This window comes from Homo sapiens, chromosome 1 (assembly GCF_000001405.40).
Source record: "Homo sapiens chromosome 1, GRCh38.p14 Primary Assembly".
In the NCBI taxonomy this organism is placed as follows: Eukaryota; Metazoa; Chordata; class Mammalia; order Primates; family Hominidae; genus Homo; species Homo sapiens.
Genome location: NC_000001.11, coordinates 247,722,957 through 247,749,257, shown reverse-complemented (window position 1 = coordinate 247,749,257; position 26,301 = coordinate 247,722,957). Strand labels below are relative to the sequence as shown.

The following is a 26,301-nucleotide window of genomic DNA, read 5'->3' as shown; positions in this document are numbered from 1 at the left end:
CATCACTCCACTCCATATTCACTTTTGAAATATTTTATTGTCACTTTGGCTAAATGGATAACTAAGTATTGTTTCACATTGATCTGTGATTCCATTTAATTAAGTATTCAAATTTTTTGATATTTTGCCTTCCGAAAATTAAATCATAAATGTAATCTTAAACTTGAACTGACTTTGAAATTTCCCATAGGGCTCTGGAAAATCTCAAAGGATTTCTTCTTTGACTTCATAAAAATAGAGATTAAAAAAAATTAGGTCTGTTTGATATGCTCAAGTGCATAAAAAGTATTGTCACATAAGAAAAAAATGTGACCTTCCCTAGACTGTATTTGTATAGGTAAATAGGAAAATATTCTTCATATAAATTTTTCATAAATTTTATGAAGTATATAGAATTTTGTCATTTTTGGCTGCCCCATAATATGTCCTGGTATAATGTGATCAGTCATAATTCCAGTTACTATTTAAAATGTTTTATGCCATGGAATAACCGAATTTTCTCATTAAATGACCTCTCACTAGCTCTTAAATCACAATCATTTTAAGTCTTTTGTCATCCACAGATAGTCTGTTTTACTCTGATGCTTTTCTGAAAGCTCTTGCAGTCCGCTACAAGCCAGAGTGCTTCATCTTTAACAAAATGTGACTATCTCTGTGACCCATGGAAAGAACAATAACAGGTAATCCGGGGTACAAGCATCTGATGCCATTGCTTAAATAACTTTGAGACTGTACACCTGGTCTAAGTCTACAGTTCCGGAAATTTAATGGAGAAGCTGATGGGTTCTTCAAACTGGTAGCCGAAGTTAAAGCAGAACAAGAATCAATTACATACGGCAGATGAACTAATGAAGTGTGGTTGTTTTTTATGGTGCTATTTTGGAACATCATTAGCTCTTTAATGTTTTATATTATGGATGTAAGAAACCTCTTTTAAAGCCATTATATTATAAATAATTTTGTAGATGATACTTTTGTAAACAGATATAAAACTTTTATATATTTATCCCTGCTTATCCCTCCAGAATTTAGAAATGCTTATTGAGTATTCTAATTCCCATTGTGACATAACTACTTGCATACGTTCAATAAGAATCTTTCCTCCTAACATGATGTAATTAGAAATATCAGTTATATTACTCAGGTTTTGAATGGAATGTCATATTTGAAAATGACATTCATAGAATCAGATATGATCAGACAGTTTTAAGGAACTATGCTGACTTTATGAGGTCAAGGCTTACAAAATCCTCTTGAAAAAATTAGCCTGGTACCTGGCTTATAGCATGCTTAGCCTTACAGTGAGTATAGAAGGTCACTTTCCGGTACTCTCAGGAACCATAGGATATTTTGGAGACCTCAAGAAGAGAGGCAGTCATTCAATTCTGTAAGTACTACAAATGAAATCTTGTGGTGAGCCATGGTTTGGCTTTCTAGTCTCGAGACTTAAAAGTCTAATGTGAGATTCCTTACAAAAAATTCCAGCAAAGAAAATTCAAAAAGTCCTACATGGTGAATCATCATTCTTGCTGCACTTACGTAAATACTGAGACCAAATCTAATGGGACCAAACTCATTTTCAAAATAGGAAAACAGGCCCGGGCGCGGTGCCTCACGCCTGTAATCCCAGCACTTTGGGAGGCCGAGGCGGGCGGATCATGAGGTCAGGAGATCGAGACCATCCTGGCTAACACGGCGAAACCCCCTCTCTACCAAAAATACAAAAAAATTAGCCGGGCGTGGTGGCGAGCGCCTGTAGTTCCAGCTACTCGGGAGGCTGAGGCAGGAGAATCGCATGAACCTGGGAGGCAGAGCTTGCAGTGAGCTGAGGTCACGCCATTGCACTCCAGCCTGGGCAACAGAGCGAGACTCCGTCTCAGAAAAAAAAAAAAAAAAAAGTCTTCGCATTAGCAGTTCATGGTTAGAAGTGTTTATACGGGGGGAAAGAATGTCTTTGTCCCTTCAAATACTAGCAGACTTCCCATAGGCTGATTCACCCTGGCTTTGATGCCTAGGCTTGGAGTGGAAGTGGTATTTGTCTCTCTTCCCTTCCTTGGACTACTATGGAAAGGAAGATCCCAACTGTACATGTCAAAACAGTGGCAAACTCTTAACCATCTTAGACCAAGGCAAGATATTAGAAGATGTTTTTTAAATTATATTGATTCAGATAAACAAATGAACTCAAATCTCAATTGAAATGAAATTAAAGCTTGTATTTTGGTAAGCCTCTGAAAATATTTCTAGGCTTACAAATAATTTTGATGTAAACTGTCTACCTTTTTTAAGTATCTAAGAGGTCAGATCCATGGATTATGTGTAGGAGGATATATCAAGAAGTCTATACAGATCATCCTCCCACACTCTAGTCCTTCAATAACAACAAGTTGTTGTTTTATTTTCTTCAGAATAAGGGGACCTGAGAAGGCATGCATTTTGGCAGGATGGTCAGAGGCAGGAATGACTCATGGTCTGAGAAATGTGCTTTTGGGAATGTGAGATCAAGAGCACTTACCTACACCAGCCACATTCTAAGATGTTTGCAAATATTACTGGATATAACTTACATCAATGCTCAAAACAAACCCTTGTATGCCAACTATATGGAGAAATTGGAACTGTGGGGAGCTTAAGCAATTAGCCCATGGTCACACAAGGGTGGGGGCTGGATTTGAAAACAGGTGGCCTCATTCCATAGGCTTCTATGCTAGAATGTCCTATACGATGTTAAGAATGCAGGCTTACTCAGCTGTATCCCAGGATGGCATCATACAAGGCTTCTGAAGAGGCGATACAGTAATCCTTCTCCATAGCATGGTTCTCTTCTTTATAAAAACCGATTTCACACCTTCATTTTTCTGAATTCCGCTAGTGGATGCCACCCATCAAAGTCCAGTGGATACCAGGGAGATGGTGTTGTGAAGTCTCCCCCTTTCTATGACTATTGTGGGCTTCGAGCTAATGTCACTAACAGCTAATGTCATAACTCTTTTACTCTGTCCATATTATTCACAATGACTCTTCTGAGCTTCAAAGTAGACCAATTATTCACAATCTAAAGACAAAAGATGAATAGTTACAGAAGTTAAGACATCCAACTAGGGTTGCAAAGAAAAGGACAGAAAAAGTTTGGAAAACAATAACGGCATGAATTTCATTGGATTCTTTTAGCTGCAGAGATGATCATGTACACAATCTTGTCCAGACAGGGCAAGAACCATGAACGGCTGTGCCCATGGTTTTTCCCTGTTTTAAGGTGATTCTCCTAATTGGTTAAGTAAATATCCTGGGAGTAGAACCCAATTAACGACCATCCTGCCCTTGGAAAGAACAACACTTTACAGGAGCTGCCTCATTTTACCCCTAGAAATGCAAGGAAGTCTCAAAAAAACAGATTATTTCAACTTTTTAATCTAGGTCCATCCTTCCTTAACATTACGAGAGGAGAAATAAATGTCTCCTAGTTCTGATGTGCATATATTTGTCAGTCAGTCTGGGCAAGTTTTACCAAGTATATGAGCCATTTGTTTTAATTTTTTTGTCTGATGTCTTTTTATAACTTTTCCCTATATTTTTGATTTTTATTGCTTTGCTTAAGTTTTCTATATATTAGAAAATTTAGGTCCTGTAGGTCTCATGCTTCTTAAATACAAAGAAAAAAAGAAAAATTAAAGCTTCTTTCTAAAACTCTTTTTGTGATTACATTTTGTCCATGAGATTTTATTCAATCTAGTTAAATCTACTGATCTTTTCCTTTAAGGCTTCTGGCTTTGGGGTTTTGCTTAGGGAAGATTTTTTTCTCTCCTTTACTACATTATGGTTCATACTATCAAAAAAAAAGCCAAAAGACATCTTTCTATTTTTTTTTCCAAGCTACCATCTTTTTTTTTAACCCCTTCACTCAGCAGGAGTATTTTAAATGTGTATGTTTTCATAGCATCACTGTAGAATTTTTCTTAGCTCCTTTTCCAAATGATTTAGGTAATAATTTATTAATCACGTTTGGATATATTTTCCTTTGCATTTCATAGGTGATAATTACCTAATTATAGATCACAATGGCTTTATTAATGTAATTATAGAATTATTTTATTACTTCAATATACTATTATTCTTAGTTTTCCAGGTAAGAAAGAGAATATATTTTTATGTGAGGAGTCATAGCCCCTTTAATTTTCAGGCCAAGAAACGCATTGAAGTGCAATAACAGTCATGTCTTACTCCTTCCCTTGAGCTAAATAATCAACTCTTGAAGCCACTCTCTGCATGGGCTCTAGACTGACACCAAGTAGCCATAAAATACCATACACTGAACAGAGTAACCATTACCCTATAGTTCCACAATGTATGTCCAATTTATAACTTCATAATCTCCCCTTTCCTGATTTGTTCCTTTTTCTTTAAAAACTGGAGGTTCTCCTTTGTTTTCTGAAGCACTCCTTGAGGCAACTTTAAAGTATGTCTCAGGCAGCTGTGCTCAACCTTGGCCCATGGCTATGCAATATAGCCATGTAGCAGAACTGCATGTATACCCCTTAAGGTTAGATTTAAAAAGAACAAGAAGAGGCTTACATTTTTGGCATATCCATCAAGATACATGGGAATAATAAAGATCTAGATCTATGGACAGTGTCCTCCACCAATAGATATCTTTCATGTCAAATTTTGATTCGGCATCTGCTTTGAAGAGGTATAATACATCCAAAACTCTTAACCCCCACAAATAGAAGAAATTAAGAAACCTCAGAGAATTCGACCCTAACCAATTTGTCCCAAAGAAAATTAGTGTTCTTCTTAGATAATATTTATCCAAGTAGGAAGGTCAGAGATATATTGAGGAATGAAGACCAATAAAAATTCATGGTATTTATGTATTTGAAGATCCAAATGATTAATATTTCTATTTTCCTTAATCAACAGATTTAACGTGATTACATTAGAGTAAACAAAACAAAAAGATCCCAGCTATCACATGTATATGTGTGAAAATTTGTAGTCTGTTCTAAAACATATATAAATTATATGAAAAGAGCTAAAACTTTCATCATAAAGGAAAAATAATTTGCTCTGTGGATATCAATATATTACAGAATTACAATCATTAGAACACTACGGTATTTGTTCAGGCATAGGCAACATAAGGGCCAAAAACTATACCATGCATATATATGACATGAGCAGTGGCCAAGGTAGAACTTCAGAGAAAAAGATGCGGTCATTTAAATGTCCATATGGTTAAAAATAAAATTTGATGCCTACTTTACCCCGGGTGCAAAAAATTAATTACAGGTAGATAATTGATCTAAAATTTAATGGTAAAATATAAAGCTTTTAAACATAATATAGCAGAATATATTCAATATTTCTCGTGAGGTTAGAAAAATAAACCTTCAATGAAACAGAAAAAGATCCAACCATGAAGGAAAATTTTTACCAATTACAACACACTTAAAGACTTATGTTTCCATGAAGACAGTTAAAAAGATAGACTCTAAGGTACAAAAAGACACTGGAAATGCATATAACCAACAAAGATCTCATACCCAAAATACTTTTTTAAAAACTCCTATAAATCAATAATGAAGAAACTTGAAGAGGCAACACACAAAAAAAGGCAATGCCAACAAACATTTGAAAATGTGTTCAAAATCATTAATTATGAATGAAATGCATCTTAAATACATAATGAAACATCCCTGCAGACCACCAGAATGCCTAAAATTAAAAGGCCTGCCAAATATCAATTAGTCCTGAAACTGCAGAACCATAGAAATTGTCACAGATGATTGGTGGAAATAAAAATTGGTGCAAAACTTTGTCCCTTGAGGCCAATCTCTGGTTGGGCTGGAGGGGCCAAGGTGCTCCCAGACCACTGGCAACAGCACTCAATAGGAAATGATTGGGGGCTGCCATTATAGACACTCCAGTGGAGGCAGCAGGGGCATCATAGGTGGGAGGTGTTCTGGCATGGTGCTCTGCAAGTGGGGTCACTCCAGAGAGGAGTGCCATGGGTAGGGGGTGCTCTGGTAGGGGGAGTTCTGGTAGGGAACACCACAGTCAGGAAGCACTCCAGTGGAGGGCTCTGTGGGCAGGAAGTGGAACATTAAACTTTCACTGGAAATAATTTGTATTTAGACTTTATGAAATTTGAAGTGGAAAAAAATAGATTTCCATACTCTGGTTGTTTCAAGTACACTTAAAAATGTTCCAATAAATGAATCGACTATCAATTTTTAAATGCAAATTAATTAAAAGTACTAATTTAGCTCCTTAGTTATACGAATTATATTTCAAAGTACACAGTAGTCACGTGTGTCTAGTGGTGCCATATTTGATAGCATAGTTCTAGATACATTTAACTTGAAAAATTACTTTTAATTGTAGAATTCCTATCTCTAATTAAATAACCTATATCTACTTTCCAAGGCATATTTTTGAAAACTTTTGTGCCCCTTTTTGTGTCTTTCCCCATCTTTGTATCCTCCTGTTGTTTTGTTGTCTCAAATCATTATTTCCACATATTAGTTTCCTAAATTTGTAAATGGAAAAATCAAATATTTGTAATCTTCTTAATTCCCTATTATTTTATCATATTGATTGATTATCCTCTGTCATATAGCCCCACAGAGAATAGAAGCCCACTTTCCTAGAACAAGCAGTTAAGTGGCTAGTATTAGACATTTGATTTAATTAGCTACTGGTGAGGTCTTTTAAATAAGCTTCTTGTGATGTCAGATTACATTCCACAGTGGTGAACACAGTCTCCACTTCATGGTGTGTGTGTGTGCGTGTGTGTGTGTATTATCTCAACAAAATTTCAATCTTGTGATGTCAGATTACATTCCACAGTGGTGAACACAGTCTTCACTTCATGGTGTGTGTGTGTGCGTGTATTATCAACAAAATTTCAATCTTGTGATGTCAGATTACATTCCACAGTGGTGAACACAGTCTCCACTTCATGGTGTGTGTGTGTGCGTGTGTGTGTGTATTATCTCAACAAAATTTCAATATTGAGGTATAAGAAAACCAGACTGGAAATTACATGATTAAAATAAAAATTACATGGTATTTGAAATAAAATAATAAAGCAATCTGTTTCACACCATACCAAGTTCAGACTTTTCCATAAACCCATAACAAACTACTGTGAAGAAGCTTTCCAAAAGTGCAATACACATTTTGTTTCAACATTTGAGCAAAGCTAGTTTTTCCAGATACTCGGAATTCCTTTGAACTGAAATAGAAGTACTATTTCAATTTACTTTCATCTGTATCATCACTGTAAAGGTAAAATTTTGGAAAACAAGGCGGGGAGGGTATCACAGAAGTGATCTGTAAGCTTGCAGGGTTCTCAATCATTGTGGTATGTCTCCATCTGATGCACGTAGGTATAGTACAATGAACGTTTCGTAAAGTAAGGAGAGAAGTGTCACAATGGTGAATAAAGAGTTGCATAGCACAACCTATCAGAGCAAACATCAGCAATGTACTCTTTAAATGTAGAACTACATGACCAATAGATTCAAGACAATTTACAGCTTTCTTTGGTTTGAATGTAAAACAGCAAAAATTCACTTCCTGTTACTACTTCTTACCCTTTTTTTCCATTGAAACTTTGATTGTATCTATATGTATATTTAACATATGCATACTTGTGTGATTTATCACTCACTCTGTATGGTTGCTCTCTAAAAATATAGTCATTATCCAGTGCCTTCAGTTCTCAAACACACTTTTTTATTCATATTCCAATTCAATGTTTCTATAACAGGGATTCAACTCAAAGTTGATAAGTTCATTTAATGCAATGTTTATTTTTCCTTAAACACACATAACTAAATTTATGGTGCATTGAAATGAATTGGCTTAGGATCCAGGCAGTGTTAAAGAAGTAGTGACAAAACCATTATATGCTCACAACTGTGAACTGCACTGTAAGAGTAAATCAAAGAGTTTATGCATGAACTTTCCATGCAGGCATTAGATAATCCAGTTTCTGTGTTAAACAAATTTTAAAAATATATTTATTTTCTGTCAAATATTTGTGCAAAGCTCACTAGAAGATATTTAAATTATTTTCTGACATACAATACATACAATGACATACAAGAGTTTAGAGACAGAGAAATATGTAATTAAGCACTTTCATAATATTTTATAGCTAGACTCTAAAAATCTAAGCTAGATTTTAATATTTGGGTAGAATTTGGGCAAATAGAAGATTTCATGAGGAAGCTAATATGGACCAAGTTTCAAAGATGCTGTAGTGAGCATACAGAGTTTGAAAGGTATTGCCAAAGGCTAGAAACATATTTTATTACATTCTTAAGTTATGAGTAACATAAACAAAAAGATGCTCAGTCTCAGCTGTCCCATCTGCTTAACAGTATTACATGCTGCCTCATATCAGTCAGAGGATTAATAGAGGTGGTATACACAAAAGTGTCTGATACAGTGAAATTAGGCAACAAATGTTAATTTCCATCTCTAGGAAAGAAGCAGCAAGAGGACAAATAGGGTGATACGACGATTGTCTCCTGCAGCAAGGAGTAGAAAACAATTCTACACATTTAGGGTACTTGAAATGTTATATAATATTAAAGGTCCAGAAAATGTATAATTTATCACAATGTTAGAAACAGTGCTAAATGCTATTTCATTAATTCTAATACATTATGAAAGCAATTTGCACAAGTCAGGAATCAACACATTAGAGAAAAAGAAGTTTTAATGAAGAGAAAAATATTCTACTCCAAAAACATAATTTATTTTTAAAAAGACATGAGAAAATCACCTTCCTAAGTGTTTGGGTAATTGTATAAAATCTACCAAGCACACATGAATCAAATAGGTAAAATGCAATAAAATTGAGTACATTTTTTAAACTGTAAAAGTAAGTTGAAATCATAACTTTAAGTTAAAATTACAACTTTTACCAAATAGTGAAAATCAGAAGCTATAAAGAACGTTGAATCGATAAAACCTGAGATGCAATGCAAAATCTAGGACAATAAAGCAGAAACTAACTGAAGAGAATGCTGGAAAAGATAGGACAATAAAGCAGAAACTAACTGAAGAGAATGCCGAAAAGATGAAAGCTTTTTGAGGTATGAGAACCTCATACAAATCTCATGCAATGCATGTGGATCTTCAGAACAAGAGTAAAAATCATTGAAGTTGTCATAGGAAAACTTTAATTATTTCTACATGAATAACAGATGTCAAGTGAAGAAGTATAGGAAAAGAGATGGGCACGGTGGCTTACGCTGTAATCCCAACACTTTTGGAGGCTGAGACCAACGGATTGCTTGAGGTCAGGAATTCAAGACCAGCCTGGCCAACATGGTGGAACTCCGTCTCTACTAAAAACACAAACAAATAGCTGGGCGTGGTTGCATACACCTGTAATCCCAGCTACTTGGGAAGCCGAGACATGATAATTGCTTGAGCCAAGATCACGCCCCTGCACTCCAGCCTGGATGACAGAGAGAGATTCCGTCTCAAAATTTTAAAAAAAAAAAGTGCAAAAATTGTAGGAAAATAGTTGCTTTCTATTTCTATTAAAACTGACTGCTTGAGATTATCAGTAGCAAGACTCCATGACATTTTTATCCCAAAATAGAGATAATTTTAAACAGCTAGTGGATGGCAGAACAACAACAACAAAAAAAGTTACTTCCCATCTTCAACTTTAGTCATCTTTTCATTACCCCACTGCTTCTAACATTCCACAGGACTTTACTCAGAGCGGATTTAATGTCCTTGTTCTTCAGACAGTAGATAACAGGGTTCAAGGTTGGAGGTGCGACAGAATAGAACACAGACACCAGCAAGTCTAGAATAGAAGGTGCATCAGACCCTGGCTTTAAATAAGCAACAGCACCTGTTACAAGAAACACAGTGACAACAATGAGGTGAGGCACACAGTTGGAAAAGGCTTTGGATTGTCTCTGTCTCTGTGATATCCTTAACACAGCAGAGAAAATGTACACATAGGAAACTACAATGCAAACTAAACATGAAAATGCATAACAGACCCCAATGGCCACACTGACACTAATGATGGCATGTTCTTTAGAACAAGTGAGCTTTAGTAGGGCAGGGACATCGCAGAAGAACTGATGTAGCTCATCAGAGCCATAAAAATTCAGAGAGAATGTTCCAGCTGTGTACAAGAGTCCCAAGGCCCCTCTGTTGAGCCAGGACAGAGCCATCAACTGGACACAGAGCCCTCTGCTCATGACAGCCTCACAGTGTAGGGGGCAGCAGATGGCAGCATAGCGGTCATAGGACATGGCAGTAAGGATGCCAATCTCTGATCCAGCCAGCAGTACCACCAAGAAGAGCTGCAACACACACCCCAGGAAGGAGATGGAGTCAGTGGAGGCGACAGAGTTGAGGATGGATTTGGGGACTGTGGCAGAAATGAGACACAGGTCTAAGAAGGACAAATGTCGGAGGAAAAAGTACATTGCCATGTGGAGACGATGGTCCAGAATCATGAGGAGAATGATGACTAAATTCATCAGCACAGCCGTGAGGTAGATCAGTGAGAAGAGCAAAGCATGCAGCCTCAGGAGCACCCAATTCTCAGTAAATCTCACAAGCAAGAATTCCATCATCTGTGTCTGATTGGTCATAGTTCAAAATTATAAGCGCCCTATGGAGTAAAGGAAAATAAGTGTCATACTAATATTAAAAAGTATCATTTGTTTCTTCATTTGTTGAATGAAGGTATGTGTAGCATCAAGGCCTAGACAAAAAGTTTAAAAATATCAAGCAATTTATATTTCTCATGGACTCAGGTGTAAAACAACTGTGGGTATATCAGTCTAACACTTAGTAGTCCTGGACTAAGATTTATTGTGAAAGAAGCAAAGAACTTCACTTCTCTCCCTCATTACTTGAAATGACTTTTGAGTGATTTTATTTCCTTTGGGAATTACAGGGTTGGCTATGCAATTATATATAAAACTGCAATAGGGCATACATTTTCATGTATAAATATCCCGGTTAATGTAGTTTTGTGTGTATTAAATGTTGTGAATGAAATTTCTGCTTGCTACTTACTGCAATATTTAAAATAGTCATTATCCTCAGGTGATACTCTAATTTACTATCCCCTTCTCACTGAAGGATGTTAAGATTATTCTCCCATTTTTGCATTAAAGTTTACTCCTTTGGTGAAAATGTGATTATAGTATCATTTTTTTCTTTCTTTAGTCCATATACATAGCATAGCACAAAAATTAAAAAGTACTCGTTATTTTCACAAATCAGTTTTCAAATATATAGTGTCATTTTTCATGAAAAGAACAAAAACCTGAGACTTAGCCAGATGATTAACATAATATTCTAGGAAGGATTTAATTAAACACAGGAAGCGACAGACAGGGATATCTACTGCATCTAACCAGAGATGCAGTGTGTCCTCTTATGTGATAGACATTCAGAGATTGTCATCTGAGATCCCTCGCACACCCCAACGTGAGGGAGAGTTTTGGCCATGTTTTTCCCTCAGATCATCTTGTCTTTAGAACCTCTCTTGATTTTACTTTAGTATCACTTCAATGGCAATTTTTTCACTTTCCCCTTTGGTTTCCAGGCCATCTCTAAAACACACAGAACAGAAAACAGGATGGACGGTTTGCTAGTTTGGAAGTAGCTCTTAGGGTATGTAGACACTGCTCTAGGTTTTATTCTCCCCAGCAGGTCAAACAGAGGAGGCTTTAAGTTTGGGGCAGCCATGAACTTGCTCATGTTGAGCTATAAGTCAGGCTCTCCATTATTGCTCTAAAGCTACTGCCAGTGCTTTTTCCAACAAGAACACCCAAAGTTTGCAACATAGCATGAGATTTCCATTTGCTCTTGAGTCTTTTCAACTTAAAAAATATTTTATTTTTGTAGACACAAGAGAGTCTCACTTTGTTGTTCAGCAGTTTTTCAACTGAAAGAGAATGTAGCAGACCATTACAACATACATTCTCCTCCTTCTCTATACACACATATGCACACACACACAGCCGAGAGGATGAGCAAGAATAAACAGAGCTTTTCCAGGATGAGCAGTCGTACCTCTAACCTTCATAGAATATGTCCATTTCAGTACAAGTGATTTTCTGAGAACTAAATTAACAAGTGATTTAAAGTTGAAAAGGGACCAGGCATGGTGGCTCATGCCGGTAATCACAGCATTTTAGGAGGCTGAGGCCAGAGGATCTCTTAAGGCCAGGAATTCGAGACAAGCCTGGACAACAAGATGAGACCCCTCTATGTCTACAAAAATTAAATAAAATAATGTTTTAAGTTGAAAAGACTCATGAGCAAATGGAAATTTCTTACTATGTTGCAAACTTTGGGCTTTCTTGTTGGAGAAAGCACTGGCCCTAGCTTTAGAGCAATAATGGAGAGCCTGACTCATAACATGAGCTAATTCATGGAAGCCCCAAAAGTAAAGCCTCCTTTGTTTGACCTGCTGGGGAATAAAACCTGGAGCAGTGTCAAAATACCCCAAGAGCTACCTCCAAACTAGCAAACCATCCATCCTTGTTTCTGTTGCATTAGCCTGTGTGTTTTAGAGACAGCCAGGGTAGCTCAGTGAGTGAGTGAGTGTCCTTTTGAGTTCCTTCCACCCCAGTGATGTTTGACTCCAATGCTAGATTTTTATCCCTTCAGTCTCATTTTTGATTTATATTTCACCTTATTTCACATGCTTACATATGAAATGAGTGATAGCATTAGTTTAAAAGTCTGTGTGCTTTTCTTTACAGATAACATTAATAACAATAAAGCTTTGCCTCATTATATTTATATACTTATTTGGTCCAGGGAAATTCCACATGATTAAATAAAAATATGCAATCTGAGTCTCAATCAATCTAAAACTGGGAAAATACATATAATACACAAAATAATCCTAAAATCAAGGGGTATCTAAGAAGGCTGGGAAGATAGGGTAAGTTCAGGTTTATATGTTTCTTTACCATTTCTATATCATATTAACAACAAATTTTATCACTTTTGTCAAGAATATGAGGAATGGAGAGAATGAGAGAGCAAAGGGGAAGAGGAGAGGAGAGGAGAGGGGAGGGGAGGGGAGGGGAGGCCTATATGGAGTCTTCAGCTCCGGAAAATGTTTCCATTCTCGAGTAAGATCAACAGAAGCAACATTCATAACAAAGGCTATATGGAATCTTCAGCCCCGGAAAATGTTTCCATTCTCGAGTAAGATCAATAGAAGCAACATTCATAACAAAGGCCGGTGAGAATGCTTTCCCAAACAGTTCTATATTTATTTCAAAATAATTTCAGAAGAGAAGAAAATAAAAATGAAATGTCTAAGTAATTTAGGACTTCTTTTCACAGTTTTTGTTCAAAGAGAGCTCTAGTTTTCAATTCTTAGGGAGATCTAGTGAATGCTGCAAACAGTTTCCTATATGCTTACCGATTCCTGCTTCAAGACCCCAACTCCCCGGGTTAAACTCACGACGATTTTGATTGACCATTTCTGTCCTCTACGTATCAGTATTTATTTCTTTTGTGCAGTCTCCAAGCTCTGCTTGATGTCCTCTGTATTAGGCACTTCCTTCTTCAAGAAGGAGCAAGGCTTTTAAAGCAGCTTTAAACAGACTTTCATTGACTATATGGGACTCTCCTGGGAGGTCACACTTTTACTTGTACTTATATTTTATTTCATAGGTTTTAAGCCCTGGAGACCCAGCTCTTCACTCTCACCTCAGATCTGAGACGTGATGCCACACCTTTTCCTCCAGTGAGTCAGAAAAGGAGATCTTTCTGGGTCTCATGAGAATAAACCTTTATTTATTGCATCCATAATATGTGACTAATGGATCCTAGACATTCATTTGCATGTGACACCTTAAATTTTGGTGTGTGTACACAGACTCTTTAAATTGAGTGTAATAATCTCAGTCCAGTTTCAACTGAGAAGGACACTGGGAGATGCAGTGCTCTGACTTTGGGGTCTGAAACATGGATTTGTTTAAGTCCTTGAGCCATCACACTTCCCTTGGATCTTTCTTTTCTCCTCTCACTCTGGATTTAAGCCTCCAGGGAAGATGACGTCCCTTCAGATTCTCACAAATGACGAGAGATGCCTGTATAGAAAGTTCCCAAGAGCACCGAATTTTCAACATCTGTTTCATTCTTAAGTGATGCCAGGGGCATCCTCATGAGCATCCTACGAGTTCAGGCTTCCCTTGGAAGCAGCAACAAAATGAAACTCAGTGGGGTCTTCTCCAGGGTTGGGATGAGGTACAGTTTATTTTCAGATTTTGATCTTGTAATATTCTTATTATATTCACGTAATTTCCAGTTATTTGCTCGCTAGTTTGCTTTGAATGACTGACTTTCTAGATATCCTGGTGGGGACAGCCTCTATGCTGCCTAGAGCTTGTTTCTGTCATCCAGCAACCTCTTGTGGACACCCCACATTCATTGCGAAGTTGACGTTTAGATTAGACCTTCTTCTTCATCATTTTATGACATTTCGTAAGAGACATATGACATCCAGCCCCATAGGACTTCATTATCTACATTTTAAAAATTAGCTTATTGATTTTTAAGGTATTCCTAGGGATTTTGACAGGGACTGAATCTAGATCAATGTAGAAAACACTGTATTTTTAGCAACATTGAGTATTTTGAGCAATAAAGATGGTATATCCCTCCATTTTTAAGTCTTTAAAAGATTCTCAGAAACATTTTGTTATTTCAGTACATATCAGTACACAACCCCCAAGCTCATTTTGTTAAATTAATCAGTAGATACTTCATGAGTTTGATCCAAATCTGTATTTGTTTGTTTAGGCTGCCATGACAAAATACTACAGATGGGGTAGCTTAAACACGTCGTCTGTGAGTGGGTGTTTCTCACGATTCTGGAGGCTGCACATCTGAGATCAAGACGTCAGCTGCCTTGGTTTCCTCTGAATCTTCTCCTCGGGCTGCAGATGGACACTGTCTTGCTGCCTCTTCCTCTGGTCGTCTCTGTGCATGCGTGCCCCCAGGGTCTCTGCGTGCCCTAATCCCTGTTCTAATAAGGCATCAGTAAGTTTAGATTGGGGACCATCCTAATGGCCTCACTTTATCTTAATAAGCTCTTTAAAGGATTTTTCTCCAAATACAGTCAGATTCAGAGGTCTTGGAGGTTAGAACTTCAAAAGATGAATTTTGGAAAGACACAGTTCAACCTGTAACATAATATAAATGATATTGTTTTTGCTTTCCATTTCCATTTGTTTTTTAATACCATGTAACAGCCTTATTTTTATCATGCAACCTTCTTAACTAGCATAGTAGCTCTGGTAGCTGTTTTGTAGATTTCTCAAAATGTCTACGTAGATACTCATTTTGTGAGGAAAAGTTGCACTTCTTCATTTTTAATGAATTTTCTTTTTCTTTTTCTTACCTTTTTTCACTGCTTGGGGCTAAATAGAGGTGGTGAGAGAATAATCCTTTTTGATCCAGATCTACAGAATAAACATTCTGGCTTTCAGCATTAACTATGATATTAGTTGCAGGGTTTTGTCTTTTGTTCATTTTGTTGGCTTTTGTTTTTGTTCTTCTTGGTTTTGAGTTAGCAGATAACTTATTCAAAAAGAGTATTGCAATAGAAAGAATTTCCCCAAGCATGATACCTGTAGTCCTCTAAATGGTCAGGCAGAAAGGGCTTTTGTTATATAGGGAGAGTGAGGAAGGCTAGAAAGGACAGGGAGTGAGGGAGTAGAATGAGCAGATAGCATGATTGAACAGATAAACAGGAAATGTCTTTCCTTAAGTTTCAGAAGGTTTGTAAAATAGGAATTGTTCCATAGTCCAATGCATTTCTTTGGTTTTTGTTTCTTTTCAGATGCCTTTTATCAGTTTAAGAGGTTACCTTCAATACCAGGTTACTGAGGATTTTTGTCACAAATTTCTTCAAATCTTTCAAATCAGTTTTCTGATAATGAGGTAAGTGTATCTATTCACTTTTCGTCTTTAGTCCACTATTATGGAAATTAATCCTTAAATCTAGAGAGACAGGTGAATATAGAGAGTCACAGCTAAGATCTGCTCACTAGGAACGAAAGCCACAGAAATAATAAACTGGAAGGGTCACAAGTTTGATGAATTTCCGAATGCTCTCAGGATGGTGTAAGAGTAAGAAACTCCTGAGGGCCGCAGTCTCAGGGGGACCTCGTACTTTCATTGGTTTTATATCTAGGAATCCCACTAAGGCTTTCAAATAAAAAGCCAAGAAAGAATCTCTCCTGGATTGGCAAAAGGGTGGAAAAGTAACCATAGCATGCCCAGAGCCTTCCCAGATCAAAGGACCACTCCAGGCAAAAAGACTTTACTACAAACATATCCTGCCTGGGGGAAGGGCGTGCTGAGTCTGAAAGAAGCCAGACTTTCAGACTTGCTTCTTCACTTAGCAAAATGCATCCAAGATTCATCCATGTTGTTGTGTGGATATCTCATGCCTTTTTACTGATGATTAGTATTCTACTGCATTGTTGAAGTATACTTTATCCACTCACCTACTGAAGGACTACTTAGTTTCTTTCAGTTTTGGTGATTATAAATAAAACTTCTATAAGCACTTATATGCAGGATTTGTTTGCACATAACTTTTCAAATCAGTTGGGTAAGTACCAAGGGACCAAATCACTAGGTCATTTGGTAAGGCCATGCTCGGTTTTGCTAAAAGAGAGGTTTTACTTCCAAATAAGATGGACTAGGAAAGAGCTCCTCAGACCCCTCCTTTTCTCCAACAGAAAGCACATGTGAAACCTAAACATAATATAAAAAACACCTGAATAAGTGCTGGCGGACTGTGGCCAAAGGTTTCTGTTCACTTGGAGAAGTGTTGTAAGGGCGCTTGACCATTTTAGTTTCCTCCATCACAGCTTTCAGTGTTGGGATATGTGCAATTCATACAGCAACACAACAGTGGTGAGCTTACGATGCTGGCCAAAATGGATAGAGATAGATCCTATTTTTTTCTGGACTGGGGCGCCAGAAAAGAGAAGACTGGGGACTATAAATCCTGAGTGTAGAGATCTTTAAAGTAAAATACAAAAAAAAAGTTAGGCCAAACACTTTCTACCCACATCTCTGGCTTACCCCTGAATCACACATGCACAGAAAGACCGAAAGATATTCAGCCATACCAAGATCTGAATGAAATGGAAGCTACTGCAAATGAAATAAAAATTGTAGTTCAAGACCAATGAAGAAATGGCTTGTTAATATGTAGAAATAATACTCACTTAAAAATAAAATAAAATGTAGAATCTCTACAATTCAGCTTTCATAATATTCAGGATAAATTCTACCCATCATATGAGGGATCTAAAAATTAAACCCACTAAGATGTGAAAAGAAAATAAATCTAGGCCAAACTCAAGATGAACCAGATGTTGAAGCAAACAGACAAAGATACTTATATTGGTCATTTATCTCAATTAAGAAAAAAAAATATGTTTTCAATACATGTGAAATCTCAGTATACAAATGGGATTTCTCCACAAAGAAATAGAAACACTTTAAAATAACCAAACAGAAATTACAAAATTGAAAATTTCTATTTCTGAAATTAAAATTTTACTGAGGGAGTAAGTACATTGAAGATAGAGCATATAAATTATCTAAGCTGATGAATTGGAAGGAGAAAAAAAAAGAACATGCCAGAAAAAATAATTATAGATATAATGGCCAATATTTTTTGAAATCTGAGGGAAATAGAAATCTGTAGGTACAAGGTGCTAAAAAACACCAGTCAGAAGACAAACACAAATAACTCAAACAAAAATAAATAATAGTAAAACTATTGAAAGCAAAGTATAAGCACCAATCTTTAAAGCAGCAAGAAAAAATTAGTAATATATTACATAAAGGGAAAAAATACTGTGAATAATGACTTCTCACTAGAAATGATGATTACACAAAGAGAACAGAAAAACATCCTCAGCATACTGAAAGGTTGAAAGGTTTGGAGGGGCAACTATCAATCAAAAATTTCATGTCCAGCAAAAATGTAATTGAGAATGAAGGAAAAATAAAGACAGCACTAGATTAAAAAAGCCTAAGAGGAATTTGTTGACAGCAAAACTGCCTGTAAGAAACACTGAAGTAAGATCTTTAGAATGAAATAAATAATACAAGAAATATACTGAAATACTAAAAAAAGTTAATAGTATCAGACATGGTCATATATGGGCTATGATAGTTAATTTTATGTGTCAATACAATTGGACTAAACAGTGCCCAAGTAGCTGGTAAAACATTATTTCTGAGTGTGTCTATCAAGGTGTTTCCAGAAGAAATTAGCATTTGAAATAGTAGACTGAGTAAAGAAACTCGCCCTCACCAAGGTGGAGAGGCATCATCCAATCCAATGAGAGTACAAATAGAACAAAAAGGCAGAAGAAAGGTGAATTCACACCCTCTTCTTGGGCTGGGATAGCAACCTTCTCCTGGCCCTCCAACATCAGAGTTCCCATTTCCAGGCCTTCAAATATATATATTTTTTTATCCAGTCAGTTTTGTTTCTCTGGAGAACCCTGACTAATACATGTGTAAATGCCAAAGATATTATTTTACAAGAAGGAGTGCATTATCAATTATAAGTAGAGTTAGAAAAAGTTAAGTATGTATATTTTCTCATTCCTGGGGCAGCTATACACAATAAAAAGCAGCTAGAAAACCAACAAATTTTTAAAAGAAATTTTAAAAATTATTCAAATAATCACTGAAAAATGGCAGGAAAGAAGAAATGGAGGAAAAGAAAGAGGAAATAAAACAGTAAAAAACAAAAATTATCTGGCAGGGTAAGTGGTTTGAAGTGTTTTATAGCCCCAGGGTTAATTTTCATTATAGCTAGCAGATGTTGGGTGCAGTTATGCAGGGTAGAGGTAGGCAGGTTATATATGACTAAAACATGTGAGGTTTTTTTGCTATGTTTGAATCAACTGGATTTGTAACGATTTGAGTTTGGTGTCATCAGGGTTTGAGCTAACTGTCACAGCCTGCTGTGAAGAAGTAAACTACGTGAGGGCCAATCTACAGGAGCCACCTTTGACTCATTTATATAATACCCTGAAGTGTACCTCCTGTAATTTAATAAATGTTCACAAGGTTTCTATTTGGCAGCTTTGTTTATAACCACAAAATTTTGAAAACTAAATACCAAAACATATAGTAATTATTGAATAAACTATTACCTATATTTACATTGGAGTATTCTTCAACCATTAAAAAATAATGATAATGAAGGCAGTTTCCATAAACTGTATCTAATGTTTGCCAGCATTTATTACATTAAAGAATCAAATGTAAGGGAGTATACTTCGTATGCTATAAGTAACAAGAAAACATGAGCAAATCTTTTTTTGTAAAATTGAAACCTGCAAACAACAAACCAGTAAACCCTGAAATTGCTTTTCTGTAGATCTCGAGCAATGGGGTGGAAAGGATAGAGAGTGACATTTCATTGAGAATAGTATTCTGTGGGGTTTTTGTGTGTATTTTTACTTTGGAGAAGCATATTGATTTTTTACATATAAAAACTGTCAACAAAAGTAAAGGACAAAAAACTTTAAAATTAAATGCAAACCAAATCAAATGAAATAACTATGCTTCGAATGAAAAACAAAACCATGTTCAAAAGAAAACAGAAAGAAACCATTTTAAGTAACTTAACCATAGGCTTAATATAAACTCTTAAGTCTAAAGGGGAACAGAGCTACAAGCAAATCTTCAACTATGTTATGTTGGCTTGTTGTATGTTTCAGGAGTCTTCATTTTTAGCAAAGTGCTCAGATGATTATTATACAGTATATTACATAGCTTGGTTATCACTGTCCTATAGCCTATAACTCTATGATAAGTAGAATTAAGGGAATACTTGAGTACTTTATTATTTTTCTGCTAAAAGACTGAGTCATGTCCTTAACAGTGTATTTCAGAATGTTCTGGACCTACGTTGGAAACAGTTGTTTCCTCCCTACAGAAAACACATGTGATTATACTGCTAATGGTCTTAAGAGATAATCACTTAACAAGGTGATTCAGAAAATATTTAAAACATTTTTCTTTGGGGAATTCTAAAGTATTAGCCAAGTGCCTTAAAAATAATTTGTTGCAGTCCCTTGACTATAGACGTTTACAAATTATGTCAAATTTGAAATAAAAGAAAGGCAAATAGTCTTCCTCATTGTGGTAGTATGCATCCTTCCATGTGAAGAAACTACCACAGCTTTGCAGAGCTCTTTGAGTCTTTTATCAAAAGTCTAGAGATGGAACCATGTGCTATGTTGACACGGAGTTTATGAAGGAAGCTAGATGTTTTGTTTTAATTTCAGGTAATCAACTGACAAATTAAACTTTTTATTCTGGGAGGAATATTTCTACCCTTGTGTAGATGTGATGGAATTATCTCCTTAAGGACATCTGATGAGTAATCCTGTGTCCATGTGGTTGAAAAATTGGAATTATTTTACGGTATTAATTTCAAATTTCTGTTGGTAAAATGTTAAAGTACTCTCTGTTTCAAGGCAAAATTTTTAAAATCTTGTAGCTATTCCAGATATACAATCATGTCATCTGCAAACAGGGACAATTTGACTTCCTCTTTTCCTAATTGAATACCCTTTATTTCCTTCTCCTGCCTAAATGCCCGGGCCAGAACTTCCAACACTATGTTGAATAGGAGTGGTGAGAGAGGGCATCCCTGTCTTGTGCCAGTTTTCAAAGGGAATGCTTCCAGTTATTGCCCATTCAGTATGATATTGGCTGTGGGTTTGTCATAGATAGCTCTTATTATTTTGAAATACGTCCCATCAATACCTAATTTATTGAGAGTTTTTAGCATGAAGGGTTGTTGAATTTTGTCAAAGCCTTTTTCTGCATCTATTGAGATAATCATGTGGTTTTTGTCTTTGGCTCTGTTTATATGCTGGATTACATTTATTGATTTGCGTATATTGAACGAGCCTTGCATCCCAGGGATGAAGCCCACTTGATCATAGTGGATAAGCTTTTTGATGTGCTGCTGGATTCGGTTTGCCAGAATTTTGTTGAGGATTTTTGCATCAATGTTCATCAAGGATATTGGTCTAAAATTCTCTTTTTTGGTTGTGTCTCTGCCAGGCTTTGGTATCAGAATGATGCTGGCCTCATAAAATGAGTTAGGGAGGATTCCCTCTTTTTCTATTGATTGGAATAGTTTCAGAAGGAATGGTACCAGTTCCTCCTTGTACCTCTGGTAGAATTCGGCTGTGAATCCATCTGGTCCTGGACTCTTTTTGGTTGGTAAACTATCGATTATTGCCACAATTTCAGCTCCTGTTATTGGTCTATTCAGAGATTCAACTTCTTCCTGGTTTAGTCTTGGGAGAGTGTATGTGTCGAGGAATTTATCCATTTCTTCTAGATTTTCTAGTTTATTTGCATAGAGGTGTTTATAGTATTCTCTGATGGTAGTTTGTATTTCTGTGGGATCGGTGGTGATATCCCCTTTATCATTTTTTATTGTGTCTATTTGATTCTTCTCTCTTTTTTTCTTTATTAGTCTTGCTAGCGGTCTATCAATTTTGTTGATCCTTTCAAAAAACCAGCTCCTGGATTCATTAATTTTTTGAAGGGTTTTTTGTGTCTCTATTTCCTTCAGTTCTGCTCTGATTTTAGTTATTTCTTACCTTCTGCTAGCTTTTGAATTTGTTTGCTCTTGCTTTTCTAGTTCTTTTAATTGTGATGTTAGGGTGTCAATTTTGGATCTTTCCTGCTTTCTCTTGTGGGCATTAACCCCATTGTCTCAGCCCAAAATCTCCTTAAGCTGATAAGCAACTTCAGCAAAGTCTCAGGATACAAAATCAATGTACAAAAGTCACAAGCATTCTTACATACCAACAACAGACAAACAGAGAGCCAAATCATGAGTGAACTCCCATTCACAATTGCTTCAAAGAGAATAAAATACCTAGGAATCCAACTTACAAGGGATGTGAAGGACCTCTTCAAGGAGAACTACAAACCACTGCTCAAGGAAATAAAAGAGGATACAAACAAATGGAAGAACATTCCATGCTCATGGGTAGGAAGAATCAATATCGTGAAAATGGCCATACTGCCCAAGGTAATTTACGGATTCAATGCCATCCCCATCAAGCTACCAATGACTTTCTTCACAGAATTGGAAAAAACTACTTTAAAGTTCATATGGCACCAAAAAAGAGCCCGCATCGCCAAGGCAATCCTAAGCCAAAAGAACAAAGCTGGAGGCATCACACTACCTGACTTCAAGCTATACTACAAGGCTACAGTAACCAAAACAGCATGGTACTGGTACCAAAACAGAGATATAGATCAATGGAACAGAACAGAGCCCTCAGAAATAACGCCGCATATCTACAACTATCTGATCTTTGACAAACCTGAGAAAAACAAGCAATGGGGAAAGGATTCCCTATTTAATAAATGGTGCTGGGAAAACTGGCTAGCCATATGTAGAAAGCTGAAACTGGATCCCTTCCTTACACCTTATACAAAAATCAATTCAAGATGGATTAAAGACCTAAACATTAGACCTAAAACCATAAAAACCCTAGAAGAAAACCTAGGCATTACCATTCAGGACATAGGCATGGGCAAGGACTTCATGTCTAAAACACCAAAAGCAATGGCAACAAAAGACAAAATTGACAAATGGGATCTAATTAAACTAAAGAGCTTCTGCACAGCAAAAGAAACTACCATCAGAGTGAACAGGCAACCTACAAAATGGGAGAAAATTTTCGCAACCTACTCATCTGACAAAGGGCTAATATCCAGAATCTACAATGAACTCAAACAAATTTATAAGAAAAAAACAAACAACCCCATCAAAAAGTGGGCAAAGGACATGAACAGACACTTCTCAAAAGAAGACATTTATGCAGCCAAAAAACACATGAAAAAATGCTCATCATCACTGGCCATCAGAGAAATGCAAATCAAAACCACTATGAGATACCATCTCACACCAGTTAGAATGGCAATCATTAAAAAGTCAGGAAACAACAGGTGCTGGAGAGGATGTGGAGAAATAGGAACACTTTTCCACTGTTGGTGGGACTGTAAACTAGTTCAACCATTGTGGAAGTCAGTGTGGCGATTCCTCAGGGATCTAGAACTGGAAATACCATTTGACCCAGCCATCCCATTACTGGGTATATACCCAAAGGACTATGAATCATGCTGCTATAAAGACACATGCACACGTATGTTTACTGCGGCATTATTCACAATAGCAAAGACTTGGAACCAACCCAAATGTCCAACAATGATAGACTGGATTAAGAAAATGTGGCACATATACACCATGGAATACTATGCAGCCATAAAAAATGATGAGTTCATGTCCTTTGTAGGGACATGGATGAAATTGGAAATCATCATTCTCAGTAAACTATCGCAAGAACAAAAAACCAAACACCGCATATTCTCACTCATAGGTGGGAACTGAACAATGAGATCACATGGACACAGGAAGGGGAATATCACACTCTGGGGACTGTGGTGGGGTGGGGGGAGGGGGGAGGGATAGCATTGGGAGATATACCTAATGCTAGATGACGAGTTAGTGGGTGCAGCGCACCAGCATGGCACATTTATACATATGTAACTAACCTGCACAATGTGCACATGTACCCTAAAACTTAAAGTATAATAAAAAATAAAAAAAATAAATAAATAAAAAATAAATAAATAAATAAATAAATAAATAAAATCTTGTAGATATTAAGGAAATTTAGGGCAGACAAAAAAACAATTAATTATCTTCCTCCTCCCTTTTGTCCTTCCTTGTGTATTTCTCCAGACTGACCATTGAAGTAAGCTAATAAATGTCTTCAGAATTATTTAATCACTCTACCACATTTTCCAAGTTCACTATATACTGCTTCTCCACATGTGATCCAAATGTCCGTAACCTTTACTTTATTTTTTAAGCTTCTTTTCCTAAAGCATCTTCTCTACAGATCTTTGTCCTGTATTTCTTCTCTTCATTTTGTTGTCAGCCCTCAGGTCACCCACATAGAAAGCCCTTTCATCTGGTTAATCTCTAAAATAACACCTTTGTATTATCTTAATGCCTCCCCCAATCTGAGTTTATCTTGTTTACTAATTTATTTGTTCTTTTTCTGCCTCCTCCCATCAACACAAAGCTCCTAGGAAAAAACAAAGTTGTTTATTTTTTAAATCTCTACCATCTAGTTTGATGTCTGATATATATGGAACATTTTTTTGATCTTTTCAATAAAGAATAAATAACTCTACATCAGTAACTAATAATTGAGGGAAATATTTTAAACACTGAAAGAAGATATTTGATAGTTTTACAAAGTAAATTACCGACAACTGACCATGATCAAGAAAAATTATTCAGTTAGGATGGGAAAGCCATTTTATCATGGTGCCCTGTCAAAATTCCTTTATAAACAAATCAACCACCCTTATAATGATGTGGCTTTAGTACACATATGCACATTCAAAGAACATGAAATTTTGCTAAATAATTCATTTTTTATTTCTACACTAAGTGAGATATTCATTATGTTAGAATTGCATGACCTCAAGATAATACAAACATTGAACAACAAATCCTTGTTTATTTTCCCTTGCTTACTATCATTAGAATAGAGAAGGTTATTTACCTGTGTTAGATTATTCAATACATCTGTAAGTGTGACTTCATGTTTACAACATCACATGATAATTGATATTTTGCACCTGTATAGGATATTAGGGATACTAACACAATCTAAAGACATGGGCCTTTGGATTGCTTTTCTGAAAGCAAAGGATTCATCATGAAGCATGGCATAATAATAATTTGATGCAAATTCTCAGTGGGTTGGAAAAGCTTCTGTGTTTAGTCAAGTTACATGTGTCTTGTAACAAATTAAGTTTGAGGCTATAGGATTAGGTAAAACTCATAAAGTCTAATGGAATTTACACATTACTCATGGAGTTTATCTTAAAAAATGAACAATGAAGTTTTAAGTAAATGGAGAGCCATTTTAGGTAGGTACATGACTCCTTTCCACTGAATATTTTTGTATATCAATATGACTCTTGCTAGTCTGTATAGACTAATTTTTTAATTTTTTTCTCCTTTATTCTTTTTTTGCATATTTTCTCACCTTGACAGGCACTGAAGAGAATCTAGTATGGCCAATGTCACCTTGGTGACAGGATTTCTTCTTATGGGGTTTTCTAATATCCAGAAGCTGCGGATTTTATATGGTGTGCTCTTCCTACTGATTTACCTGGCAGCCCTAATGAGTAACCTTCTCATCATTACTCTCATTACCCTGGACGTAAAGCTCCAAACACCCATGTACTTCTTCCTGAAGAACTTATCCTTTTTGGATGTCTTCCTGGTGTCTGTTCCAATCCCAAAATTCATTGTCAACAACCTAACCCACAACAATTCCATTTCCATTCTAGGATGTGCCTTCCAGCTACTTTTAATGACTTCCTTCTCAGCAGGAGAGATATTTATCCTCACTGCCATGTCCTATGACCGCTATGTAGCCATCTGCTGTCCCCTGAACTACGAGGTAATCATGAATACTGGAGTCTGTGTGTTAATGGCAAGTGTTTCCTGGGCCATTGGAGGGCTCTTTGGTACTGCGTACACAGCTGGCACATTTTCCATGCCTTTCTGTGGCTCCAGTGTGATTCCACAGTTTTTCTGTGATGTTCCTTCATTACTAAGGATTTCCTGTTCTGAAACACTAATGGTAATTTATGCAGGTATTGGAGTTGGTGCATGTTTAAGCATTTCTTGTTTCATCTGTATTGTGATCTCTTACATTTATATCTTCTCCACTGTACTGAAGATCCCTACCACTAAAGGTCAGTCCAAAGCTTTTTCCACATGCTTCCCCCATCTCACTGTTTTCACTGTTTTTATCATAACTGCTTATTTTGTTTATCTTAAGCCACCTTCAAATTCACCATCTGTTATTGACAGGCTGCTTTCTGTGATCTACACTGTGATGCCTCCAGTATTTAACCCTGTAACCTACAGCCTGCGGAACAATGACATGAAATGTGCTCTGATAAGGTTGCTGCAGAAAACATATGGTCAGGAGGCTTACTTCATTTAACACTTTCAAGTTCTGTCAGTGATACAGTGCCTTACAGATCACAAGAAACTTTCCTTATTTGTAACTTTGGAAAGACCTGAGAAAAGAAAGCAATATACTCAAATTATTTTTTCCCTGAAGAAATAAATACTCAAGAGCCTAA

The 26,301-nt window shown here is 36.4% G+C and overlaps 2 protein-coding genes across 3 annotated transcripts; one reads left to right on the top strand and one right to left on the bottom strand.

The window, feature by feature from the left end:
* The first annotated feature begins 1,099 nt into the window (after positions 1–1,099).
* Positions 1,100–26,301, top strand: OR14A2 (olfactory receptor family 14 subfamily A member 2). Of its 2 annotated transcripts, NM_001355292.3 has the most exons (5): positions 1,117–1,387; positions 13,702–13,774; positions 14,833–15,072; positions 15,875–15,975; positions 25,196–26,301. In NM_001355292.3, the coding sequence occupies exon 5, from the start codon at positions 25,215–25,217 to the stop codon at positions 26,157–26,159; it is 945 nt and encodes a 314-aa protein (NP_001342221.1). In that variant the 5' UTR covers positions 1,117–1,387; positions 13,702–13,774; positions 14,833–15,072; positions 15,875–15,975; positions 25,196–25,214; the 3' UTR covers positions 26,160–26,301. The 2 variants fall into 2 exon arrangements, with proteins under 2 accessions (XP_047276149.1, NP_001342221.1); XM_047420193.1 differs by lacking the exon at positions 13,702–13,774 and having other exon boundaries at positions 1,100–1,387.
* OR14K1 (olfactory receptor family 14 subfamily K member 1) lies at positions 9,699–10,643 on the bottom strand. Its single transcript, NM_001004732.2, has one exon. It carries the CDS (start codon positions 10,641–10,643, stop codon positions 9,699–9,701), a length of 945 nt encoding a protein of 314 aa, NP_001004732.2.